Raw genomic sequence first — 12354 nt, 5'->3', positions numbered from 1 at the left:
GAAACCCTGTCTCTACTAAAAATACAAAAATCAGCCAATCGTGGCAGCTGCCTGTAATCCCAGCTACTAGGGAAGCTGAGGCACAAGAATCACTTGAATCCGGGTGGCAGAGGTTGCTGTGAGCTGAGATCATGCCACTGCACTCCAGCCTGGGCAATAGAGTGAGACTCGTCTCAACAAAAGAACAGTAAGTGTTCCTACTGAAAGGAAAGTTTAATACTTGTGATTCCTGGCTGGGCATGGTGGCAGGCACCTATAATCCCAGCTACTCGGGAGGCTGAGGCAGGAGAATCGCTTGAACCCAGGGGGTGGAGGTTTCAGTGAGCCGAGATCGCACCACTGCACTCCAGCCTGGGTGACAGAGACTCTGTCTCAAAAAACAAAAATAGACTTGTGATTCCTTTCTGAAGATGGAAGCTGGAGGAGTATCTTTTGCAGTCCTCCTTACTGAGTGATCAGTGCATCTTTTTTTTTTTTTTTTTTTTTTTTGAGACAGAGTCTTGCTCTGTCGCCCAGGCTGGAGTACAGTGGCATGATCTCGGCTCACTGCAACCTCTGCCTCCTGGGTTCAAGCAATTGTCCTTTCTCAGCTTCCCGGTTAGCTGAGATTACAGGTGTGCGCCACCGTGCCCGACTAATTTTTGCATTTTTAGTAGAGACAGGGTTTCACCATCTTGGCCAGACTGGTCTTGAACCCCTCACCTCAGGTGATCGGCCTACCTTGGCCTCCCAAAGTGCTGGGATTACAGGCATGAGCCACTGCACCCAGCAGTGATCGGTGACTATTCACGTGAAGAGACTGTTGGAAAATGACAGTTAGGTAGAATTATTAAGGAAATGTCTGTAAGTATGAAGGAGGTCAAAGTATGAAATCTGTAGATTGCTCAGGCTTTTAAGTGGCCTGACCATGTAGTGCCAAACCGACTTCCAGTATCACCGTTGTGAAACACACACATTAAATGGCTTTAGTTCTCTGACCTGGTTCTGGGGAGAGAGGAGCCTTTGTCCTATTTGTGTTCGTGTTCTCTGAATGCAAGTTGTTCCTTCTGCATTGGAAGTGTCTGTAGTACAGGATTTTTTCCTACTGGTTATTAGTGTATTGTGTTTGCTCCATCAGCTAAGCCAGTCCTGCTGGCTTGGCAAGCTCTGATCTTTTGTTGATGAAGGACGAAGTCCCTGTTAAAATCAGGAGCTTCTTCCGCAAGGTTTTTCTGTTTTGTTTTCTAATTTTTTTTAGTATTATTATTTTGAGACGGAGTCTTGCTCTGTCACCCAGGCTGGAGTGCAATGGCGCAATCTCAGCTCACTGCAACCTCCGTCTCCCAGGTCCAGGCGATTCTGCCTCAGCCTCCCGAGTAGCTGGGACTATAGGCATGTGCCACCACGCCTGGCTAATTTTTGTATTTTTAGTAGAGATGGGGTGTCACCATGTTGGCCAGGCTGGTCTTGAACTCCTGACATCAGGTGATCCACCCACCTTGGCCTCCCAAGGTGTTGGGATTACAGGCGTGAGCCACCGTGTCCAGCCTGTTTTCTAATTTTTTAAATTATTTTTTGTAGAGACAGAGTCTTGCTTTTTAATTCAGAAATGCTGGGATTATAGGCATGAGCCACTGCGCCCAGCCTCCCCCAAGGTTTTAATGTTGGTTATGTGGATATGTGGTAGGACATATCCTGGATATGCAGAAGGACAGAGAGAGTCTGGATGTACCTAGGATGGAGAATCAAAGAAAATTTGGCTTCTTGACTGTAGGGTGAGGGTGCTAGATGTGGAACAGTGATGGTAATAGGCTAAGGAGTAAGAGGAAAATAACCTATATTGAGTAAGTGGGCTTTTTTTGTTTTGTTTTGTTTTTTGAGACAGAGTCTCCTCTGTTGCCCAGGCTGGAGTGCAGTAGCACAATCTCAGCTCACTGCAGCTTCAGCCACCTGGGTTCAAGCGATTCTTCTGCCTCAGCCTCCTGTTTGAAATGCTTGTTCCCTGGTGCTGTAAAGAAATAGCACTTGAACATAAATTTAATTAATTTAATTTAATTTACTCAGCAAGGCCTTTTTTTTTGAGACAGAGTCTCACTCTGTCGCCCAGGCTGGAGTGCAGTGGTGCGAACTCGGCTCACTGCAAGCTCTGCCTCCCAGGTTCACGCCATTCTCCTGCCTCAGCCTCCTGAGTAGCTGGGACTACAGGCGCCCGCCATGACGCCCGGCTAATTTTTTTTTTTTTTTTTTTTTTTTGTATTTTTTTAGTAGAGATGGGGTTTCACCCTGTTAGCCAGGATGGTCTCGATCTCCTGACATCATGATCCGCCTGCCTTGGCCTCCCAAAGTGCTGGGATTACAGGCGTGAGCCACCGCGCCAGGCCATCAAGGCCATTTTTATACTTTCTGCAGAAAGGGTACACGCCAGCAGTTTTGCCACGAGAGTACACCGAGCAAAGGAGACAGGGTCATTTATACCCTGATGCATCCACCCTACTGCTGTGTCCAGTTCCAGTTTCCATTGGCTGGAATGGGACCTCACATTTTGTATTTGTCCTGATTGGCTAGCAACTTAGAACTTTTTTTTTTTTTTTTTTAGACCAAGTCTTGCTCTGTCAGCCAGGCTGGAGTGCAGTGGCACAATCTCGGCTCGCTGCAGGCTTTGCCTCCCGGAGCTTCTCCTGCCTCAGCCTCCCGAGTAGCTGGGACTACAGGCACCTGCCACCACACCTGGCTAATTTTTTGTATTTTTTAATAGAGACGGGGTTTCACCATGTTAGCCAGGATGGTCTTGATCTCCTGACCCCGTGATCTGCCTGCCTTGGCCTCCCAAAGTGCTGGGATTACAGGCTTGAGCCACAGTGCCCAGCTGCAACTTAGAACTTTTTTAAAGAGGCAAAGGCAGAGGAGAACAAAGGAAGGTGTGAGTCACCATACCTGGCCTCTTTTAATTTTTATATTTTTTCATCTTACCACATTTGAGGGCTACAGCCCACCTCTATCAATAATAGCTGACTCACTAGAGGAGTTCTTGTAAGGGGTGGCAACAAATGAGCTCTTAGTGATTGTGGGGGAAAAACCTCTTCGTGATTGTGATAACGCCACCTCCACCCTATAGAGAATACTGGCTGTCAGACATTGTGAGCCAGGCCCTTGTCTTTGGAAGTAGCCCTCTCCATCTCTCCCCATGAAGGAGCTGACCTATTGAGTGAGATGACTGCCTGATTCTCCTGAGAGCTGCTGTTCCAGTAAGGTGACTCTACAGGTGGCATGCATCCAGAAGCCAAAAGCCCAACTGTCACACCTCCAGGATTAGGGGAGAATCTGGGAGGTAGAAGTTCAGGGATGATTCAGAGGTTTGTAATCTACCTGTCTCATCAATGAACATAACCTGAATGTACTGTTCAGAGCCATTCAGCAGCTTTCTTTGGCAGCCACGGGGTAGAGGAAATGAAATGTAGCCTTTGATGTTACAGTCCTCAAGCACCTCCTGTCTAGAGTCATTTGCTCTGCTGGTGGCCATCAGGGTTAGTTAAATTTGTTTCCTCTCCCTGAGATGCCTCCCTTCTTGGTCAAGAAGCCCTTAAAAAGAAAACTGGTATCTTTTCCTTGATGCCTGTTAAAAAAAAAAAAGAAAGAAAGAAAGAAAGAAAATTGGGACTTTATTTTGTATTCCACAGCTGGAAGGAATTATCCATTCACCTCTGCCTCAGGCTTGACTGCCTCTTTCCTGGGATCCAACTCCCAGGAAGTTCTGACACTTGATGGTAGGTGATAGGCCAACACATTTGTAAGAAACAAATATTTACTGAATTCAGCTATGCACAAAGCACTGTTCTAGATGCTTTTATGAAAATTATTTTATTTAGTTTACTTAACTACTCTGAAATTGGCTTTTATTATTACCATTTTAGAAATGTAAAAACTGAGACTTAGAAATTAGGTTACATAGCCAAGATAACACAGTGGGAAGGTGGCAGAACGTTCATTTAGGACTTGGTCCTTGGTAACTCCATATCTAAACTGTTTGGATTCAGTAAGTCTGAGGCCCAAGAAATGTAAATACTTCTGGCGAGGAGGTCACATTTTAAGTAACAAGACTTGACTACTTTTGCATATACGTCCTTATTGGAACCTGAGAATCAGACTCTGAGTTAAGTAGTTTAAGTGTTATCTTAATTATGGAAATGGGAAGAGAAATAGTAGTTCATTGTTTTCCTTTGGTTGTCTTAATTAGTAATGGAGCTAGGACTAGAACCCAGACTTCCTTTCCTAACTCCAAATTAAGTGCTCTGTACTCTACATCATTAGATAAAGTTGTCCTAAGTTGAATTTTTTCTACTCTACCCTTTTGAGCAATCTTACCAATGAATTGCTGCCTTTAAAATTCCTCTGATAACTTTTTTTTTTTAAGCTTCAGGTTTAGCAAAAAACATGACTGAACCTGACACCGAACGGTGCTAGAAAGTGGCTATCAGGCTGAGCGCGGTGGCTCACGCCTGTAATCCCAGCACTTTGGGAGGCCGAGGTGGTGGATCACGAGGTCAGAAGTTCGAGACCAGTCTGGCCAACATAGTGAAACCCCATCTCTACTAAAAATACAAAAAATTAGCCGGGTGTGTTGGTGTGCACCTGTAATCTTAGCTACTCAGGAGGCTGAGGCAGGAGAATAGTGTGAACCTGGGAGAGGGAGGTTGCAATGAGCTAAGATTGTGCCATTGCACTCCAGCCTGGGTGACAGTGTGAGACTCCTTCTCAAAAACAAACAAACAAACAAAAAAACATAAAATCTTCCGGGCACTGTGGCTCATACCTGTAATCCCAGCACTTTGGGAGGCTGAGGCAAGTGGATCATTTGAGGTCAGGAGTTTGAGACCAGCCTGGCCAACGTGGTGAAACCCTGTCTCTACTAAAAAACTACAAAAATTAGCTGGGCATGGTGGCGGGTGCGTGTAGTCCTGGCTACTCGCGAGGCTGAGGCAGGAGAATCGCTTGAACCTGGGAGGCGGAGGTTGCAGTGAGCCAAGATCAAGCCACTGCACTCAGCCTGGGCAACAGAGCAAGACTCGGTCTCAAAACAAAACAAAACAGAAAGTCAGCTGGTTGCAGTGGCTCATGCCGGTAATCTCAGCACTGTGGGAGACTGAGGTAGGAAGATCGCTTGAGCCCAGGAGTTCAAAGCCAGCCGGGGCAACATAGCAAGACCCCCGTCTCTATAAGAAAAGTTTAAAAGATAAAATTAGCTGGCCGGGCGCGGTGGCTCACGCCTGTAATCCCAGCACTTTGGGAGGCCGAGGCGGGCAGATCACGAGGTCAGGAGATCGAGACCATCCTGGCTAACACAGTGAAACCCTGTCTCTACTAAAATACAAAAAATTAGCCAGGCGTGGTGGCGGGTGCCTGTAGTCCCAGCTACTTGGGAGCCTGAGGCAGGAGAATGGTGTTGAACCTTGGAGGTGGAGCTTGCAGTGAGCTGAGATCGCACCACTGCACTCCGGCCTGGGTAACATAGCGGGACTCCGTCTCAAAAAAAAAAATTAATTAAATTAAATTTAAAAAAAAATCACCACAGCAAACAACCACCCTCAATTAAAAGGTCTCCTGCTGGGCTGATGTAGTCTCTGGGACATGGGGCCTCTCTAGTAGGGAATCTGTGGGACTCTAAACCATGGAATAGCTTGAACAAGGTTAACTCTGTAGAACAATAGTTTGAACTTATTAACATGTTTTCTTTGCCCACTTTTTTTGTGAAAGAAAGGGCAAAGTTACATCTTCAGTGCTGGGTTCAGCTTCCTGTTTGCCCATGTAGGGTGCAAGGGCTATGAAGGGCTGTTTGTGCTGCCTATTTTCTTGCTCAAGTGATCCTCAGTAAGATAGAGGAGACTCTTGAGGAAGTTAAGAAAAGGAGTTAAGGACAGCCCTGGTAACAAGTTGAGGTGTTCCTCGTTTGCTTTAGGAACATACTGGCTTGGTCTATGCTCTCTGAATTTACCTTTGGATTGATTCTTTTAAAAGTAATCTTTTCTGTCTGGGTGCAGTGGTGCATACCTGTAATCCCAGCACTTTGGGAGGCTGAAAATGGAGGATCACTTGAGCCCAGGATCACTCGAGGCCAGCCTGGGCAACAGAGCAAGACCCCATCTCTACAAAAAAAAATTTTTTTTTTTTTAATTAGCTGGGCTTGGTGATGTGCGCCTGTAATCCTGGCTACTCAGGAGGCTGAGGTGGAAGTATCACTTGAGCCCAGGAATTGAAGGCTACAGTGAGCTATTAACATGCCACTATACTCCAGCCTGGGGGAAAGAGTGACCTTTCTGAAGGGCCTCTTTTCATTCCTCCTCTCCGTCCCAACAGAAATAGGGGAACTAAATTTTAAAAATTCTAAAAATCTGGGAGGCCGAGGTAGGCGTATCACCAGATGTCAGGAGTTTGAGACCAGCCTGGACAACATGATGAAACTCTGTCTCTACTGAAAATACAAAAATTAGCCAAGCATGGTGGCGTGTGCCTATAATCCCAGCTACTCAGGAGGCTGAGGCATGAGAATCACTTGAACACGGGAGCCAGAGATCACGCCACTGCACTTCAGCCTGGGCGACAGAATGAGACTCCATCTCAAAAAAAAAAAAAAAAAAAAAAATTCTAAAAAGCCTTCAGCCCTATAGAACTCTCACCCCAGGCAGGTAGCAATTTTTTGCACAGAGAGCAGTGCAGTAGTTACTAGAAAAGGTGCCTCTGGTCTTTTGACAAAAGGACAGGTGCAGCCTTGCTCCAGGATTAGTTTATTTCTGTGTGTAATCTTCTAAGTCTGCAAAGCACTTTTATATCCACTGTAATTTAGTTATCATGGGACTATTCTGTGAGGTGTGTGGTGAGTATTAGAGCCATTTTATAGAGCAGGAAACTTAGGCTTAATTTGATTATCTCAATTTGTTTTCAAAATCTAGTACAGAAAAATTAATTTCCTTGCCTCAGGCCGTATTCCTAGTTAGTAACCTGATTGGTCATCTTATTTCAAAGTTGGTGTATGGCCTGGCATGGTGGCTTACGCCTGTAATCCCAGTGCTTTGAGAGGCCGAGGCAGGCAGATCACCTGAGGTCAGGAGTTTGAGACCAGCGTGGCCAACATGGTGAAACCCCGTCTCTACTAAAAATACAAAAAAAATTAGCCAAGCATGGTGGTGCATGCCTGTAATCCCAGCTACTCAGGAGGCTAAGGCAGGAGAATCACTTGAATCCAGAAGGCTGAGGTTGCGGTGAGCTGAGATTGTGCCATTGCACTCCAGTCTGGGCAACAAGAGTGAAACTGTCTCAAAAAAAATAAAGAAAAGGAAAAAGAAAACTCACAAAGTTGGTGTGGAACTTTTATTGCAACTTAACAATCTTCTCACAGATGTATTTTTTATTTGAGGAAAAAAGAAACTACCTGTACACACAGAAAAGCATAAACTAGCTAAACTATTTTCTCTCTCTCTCTTTTTTTTTTTTTTTTTTTTTTTTTTTTTTTGACAGAGTCTTGCTCATTTGCCCAGGCTGGAGTGCAGTGGCACAATCTTGGCTCACTGCAACCTCTGCCTCCAAGGTTTAAGCCATTCTCCCACCTCAGTCTCCTGAGTAGCTGGGATTACAGCTGCCTGCCCATACCACGCCTGGCTAATTTTTGTATTTTTAGTAGAGAAGGGTTTCACCATGTTGGCCAGGCTGGTCTTGAACTCCTGACCTCAGGTGATCCACCGCCTCAGCTTCCCAAAGTGCTGGGATTACAGGCATGAGCCACCGCGCCCAGCCAAACTAATTATTTTCTTTTGACACTCTTAGAAACTTTGCAAGTTTCCATTTCTGCTAATGAGTAGTCTTCTGTCAGCTTCTTTGTAGATAATCTTTGTGCTTTTTCCAGGAGGGTCAGAAGTACCGTTATGAAAGGCTGCCCTCTGCCTGTGGTCTTTCCCAGATTAGAGAGGTTGAAGTGCTGTCGAAAGACCAGGTGCAGGAGAGATCTTACCAGCAGTGTTAAGTAATTGCTCAGTTTCCTCATTTGTTTTCCTTGGGGTCACTCAAAAATATTGATAACCGCCCTGCTCTGGAGCCCAGATGATGGGAAAGAGTCTGTCTTCAAGGAATGCTAGTGAAGCTATGGATGAAAAAAAGCAGTTAAACCTCCTGCTGTCTCCATAGTGGTAACTCCTTCCAAACTGTTTGGGGACTTTTACAGCTTTCTTATGTCAAACTGCCCTAAGAGACTGAGATGAAGAGAGAGAGGTTGAGTCACTGTAATTCCTTCTTGTTAATATAAAAGAGGGAGGGGTAACAGTTACATAAGGTTCTCTTTTTTGCTTTGCAGAATGCATCTTGTCTTGTTCTTGCAGCCCGGCATGCCAGTGCTTCCTCCACGGTAAGGTTTGGAAAAGAAGACTAAGAATAAGAATCATTGCGGCCAGCCTGACCTTGGGGCAGAGGATTTGGCAACCACCTGGCCTCTTATTATCCTGAGTATTTCCTGGAAGTGTTTGTTACTATTGTTATTGTTATAGCTGCTATTATTATTATATTACTATTTAACAAATAATTTACTCAGTGGTATAGTGAGATGGGAATATCAATACATTTGCCTAATTCTTTTAAATGTTTTAAGTAGTGTAAAATATACATAACATAAAATTTACCATTTTAATCATTTTTAAGTATATGGTTTAGTGGCAGTAGATATGTTTACATTATTGTGCAACCATCCATCTCCAGAACTTTTGTCTGCCCAAACCGAGAAACTGTTCCCATTAAACATTAACTCCTCATTCCTTCTTCCCCCTGCCTAATTCTTTTACCCTCATTTGTGCAGAGTAGTTGACCAGACTTCCCTGGCAGATAAAGCCAGCTTCTAAAAAGCAAATTCTTGACACACCTACTTTGCAGGAAATCTAATAAACTTTTAGACCATTGCTTAGTCCTTCTACTTTTCTTTTTAGAATTTGAAAGACATATTGGCTGACCTGATACCTAAGGAGCAGGCCAGAATTAAGACTTTCAGGCAGCAACATGGCAAGACGGTGGTGGGCCAAATCACTGTGGACATGGTAAGGGTTGTGTGGCTTTGGCTGGGAAAAGTAGCTCTGTAATGTGCTTCAACAAAAGTAACATTCTCTCCACTGACTATTCAAAAGCATTCTGTCCCATAGGCCCTGTAGGACAGCTTTAGGATGACTTTTCCCCATCCTTCAGATTCTGAGCAGCTCAGCTGATAGTTTCTCAACAGTTTTTAGCTTATTGGTCTCCATCCCCTTCTCCTAGACTAGAACTCATTCTGTTTGTTTTGATTGGTTGGAATTTGAGGGTAGGGTATGTTGGGGAGTGGTTGAGTGGGCAGGAGAAAAAAAGTGAAATACAATAAGAAAAGGAATCAAACAGAGGGCGCAATGGCTCATGCCTATTATCCCAACATTTTGGGAGGCTGCAGTTGGAGAATCACTTGAGGCCAGGAGTTAACAACCAGCTTGATCAACAAAGGAAGATACAATCTCTATGAAAGAAAAATTTAAAAAATTAGCCAGAGATGGTGGGATGCCCCTGTAGTCCCAGCTACTGGGGAGGCAAAGGCAGGAGGATTGCTTGAGCCCAGGAGTTCAGGGCTGCAGTGAGCCATGATTATGCCACTGTAGTATAGCCTGGGCAACAGAGGGAGACCCTATCTCCAAAACAAACAAAAAGAAAGATAGTGATTTCTCAACTTAAAAAATTTCATTTCCAGGCCTGTTGCAGTGGCTCATGCCTGTAATCCCAGCACTTTGGGAGGCTGAGGCGGGTGGCTCATCTGAGGTCAGGAGTTCGAGACCAGCCTGGCCAACATGGTAAAACTCCGTCTCTACTAAAAAATATAAAAATTAGCTGGGCATGGTGGCAGGCAACTGTAATCCCAGCTACTCAGGAGCCTGAGGCAGGAGAATCACTTAAACCCAGGAGGCAGAGGTTGCAGTGAGCTGAGATTGCACCATTGCACTCCAGCCTGGGCAAGAGTGAGACTCCATCTGGGGGGAAAAAAAAAAAGATCAGCCTTGGCAACATGGCTGGCAAAACCCTGTTTTTTTTTTTTTTTTTGGGACGGAGTCTCACTGAGTCACCAGGCTGGAGTACAGTGACGTGATCTCGGCTCACTACAACCTCCGCCTCCCGGGTTCAAGCGATTCTTCTGCCTCAGCCTCCTGAGTAGCTGGGATTACAGGCCCGCACCACCACGCCCAGCTGATTTTTGTATTTTTAGTAGAGACAGGGTTTCACCATGTTGGCCAGGATGTCTCGATATCCTGACGTCGTGATCTGCCCGCCTTGGCCTCCCAAAGTGCTGGGATTACAGGCGTGAGCCACTGCACCCGGCCTAAACCCCATTTCTTTAAAAAAAAAAAAAAGAAATACAAAAATTAGCCAGACATGGTGGCACGTGCCTATAATCCCAGCTACTCAGGAGGCTGAAGTGGGTGGATCACCTGAGCCTGCAAGTCAAGGCTGCAGTAAGCCGTGATTGTGCCACTGTGCTGCAGCCTGAGTGACAGACTCTGTGAGAGGCTTAGTGATCTTCCCTCCTCCTCAGCCTCCCAAAGTGCTGGGATTACAGGCATGAGCCCCACCGTACCTGGCCACAAAGTTTGTTTTTTTTTTTCTTTTTTTTTTTTTTTTTTGAGATGGAGTTTTGCTCTTGTCACCCAGGCTGAAGTGCAATGGTGTGATCTTGGCTCACTGCAATCTCTGCCTTCTGGGTTCAAGCGATTCTCCTGCCTCAGCCTCCCAAGTAGCTGGGATTACAGGCACATACACCATGCCCGCTAATTTTTTAATTTTTAGTAGAGACATGGTTTCACCCTGTTGGCCAGGCTGGTCTCAAACTCCTGACCTCAGGTGATCCACCTGCCTCGGCTTCCCAAAGTGCTGGGATTACAGGTGTCAGCCACTGTGCCTGGCCACAAAGTTTAATTCTTTAGTAAGCTGACTCCTCAGACATCTCTCACCAAATGAAGTCTTACAAGTCTGAGAATAAATTTTCTCTCCCAGATCCCATGAAGCTCTAACAAGTTCTAGTCTGAATCATTCTGATTACTGGCCACAGCCTCTTTTTTTTTTCCTTCTTTCTTCATCCTCTTTAGATGTATGGTGGCATGAGAGGCATGAAGGGATTGGTCTATGAAACATCAGTTCTTGATCCTGATGAGGTAAGACATCTTCATGTCAATTACTAATAATCATTGAGTTTGTGCAAATACGCAAACCGTGGATTAGACCAGTAAGGGTAAGCACAAAACAGAGCACCTAGCTTCATATATTGGAAGGTAGAGAAGACATATGTATGGAATAATTGAAGAACAAATTTACCTTTTAAATATATCAACTAGTAAAAATAAAAGTACAAAACCAGAGGTAAGTTATGTGAAGATTTAAGCTTAATTTAAAGTTCTGTTCTGGACTGGGCGCAGTGGCTCACACCTGTAATCCCAGCACTTTGGGAGGCTGAGGCGGGCAGATCATGCGGTCAGGAGGTTGAGACCGTCCTGGCTAACACGGCGAAACCCTGTCTGTACTAAAAACACACAAAATTAGCCGGGCATGGTGGCAGGCACCTGTAGTCCCAGCTACTCGGGAGGCTGAGGCAGGAGAATGGCGTGAACCCAGGAGGCGGAGTTTGCAGTGAGCCGAGATCGCACCACTGCACTCCAGCCTGGGCGACAGTGTGAGACTCCGTCTCAAAAAAAAAGAAAATTAAAAATTGTATTCTGGGCTAGGCATGATGGCTTGCCCCTGTAATCCTAGCACTTTTGGAGGCCAAGGTGGAGCATTGCGTGAGGCCAGAAGATCGGGACCAGTCTGAGCAACATAGCAAGACCCCACCTCTACAGAAATAATAATTAACATAAAAAGTTCTACTCTAACTTGTTGTAAGGTCTGATGAGTAAGACCAGTCGTGTGACTTCTAGGCTATAAACTTGAGTTGTAATTCTCTCTCTCCTCTCTCAAGGGCATCCGTTTCCGAGGCTTTAGTATCCCTGAATGCCAGAAACTGCTACCCAAGGCTAAGGGTGGGGAAGAACCCCTGCCTGAGGGCTTATTTTGGCTGCTGGTAACTGGACATATCCCAACAGAGGAACAGGTAAAGCAGAAGGATATTATTAGCTCTTCTCATTCCCCTTCTTCATTGCCTTTCTCTAATCTCAGACACTTAATGCTGATCCGGCATTTATAGAGATGCGTAGTGAAGGGAAGGAATCAGCAGAGTTCTGCTGTATAAATGGATTGGGTTGACCTCTCTTGGGTTTTCTTTACTCAGATGTTGCTGTCCTTTTTTATTTTTCTCCTTCCTTGTCCTTGCTGGTGTTCTGAGCACTGTCTCTTTTTCCACAG

General features: G+C 45.2%; 1 protein-coding gene across 1 annotated transcript in view, besides 1 other annotated feature; it reads left to right on the top strand.

Annotated features, from left to right (window-relative positions):
• CS (citrate synthase) overlaps positions 1-12354 on the top strand; it is a 28632-nt gene that overhangs the window by 5368 nt on the left and 10910 nt on the right. Inside the window, exons 2-5 of the mRNA NM_004077.3 lie at positions 8318-8368; positions 8940-9047; positions 11106-11171; positions 11972-12103. Coding sequence (NP_004068.2) covers positions 8318-8368; positions 8940-9047; positions 11106-11171; positions 11972-12103 — 357 coding nt within the window. The remainder of the gene's footprint in view (positions 1-8317; positions 8369-8939; positions 9048-11105; positions 11172-11971; positions 12104-12354) is intronic.
• Positions 11402-11571: an enhancer, noted in NCBI's record as "experimental_29678 CRE fragment used in MPRA reporter constructs". NCBI's record gives its function as "activates a minimal promoter by MPRAs in K562 erythroleukemia cells, with activity observed for both the introgressed and non-introgressed 12:56677261 variant alleles {active_cell/tissue: K562}" and the evidence as "EXISTENCE:reporter gene assay evidence [ECO:0000049][PMID:34662402]".

Source organism: Homo sapiens, chromosome 12, assembly GCF_000001405.40.
Source record: "Homo sapiens chromosome 12, GRCh38.p14 Primary Assembly".
NCBI classification, from domain to species: Eukaryota; Metazoa; Chordata; class Mammalia; order Primates; family Hominidae; genus Homo; species Homo sapiens.
Note: the sequence above shows the minus strand (reverse complement) of the source record. Positions and strands in the feature narration are given on the sequence as shown.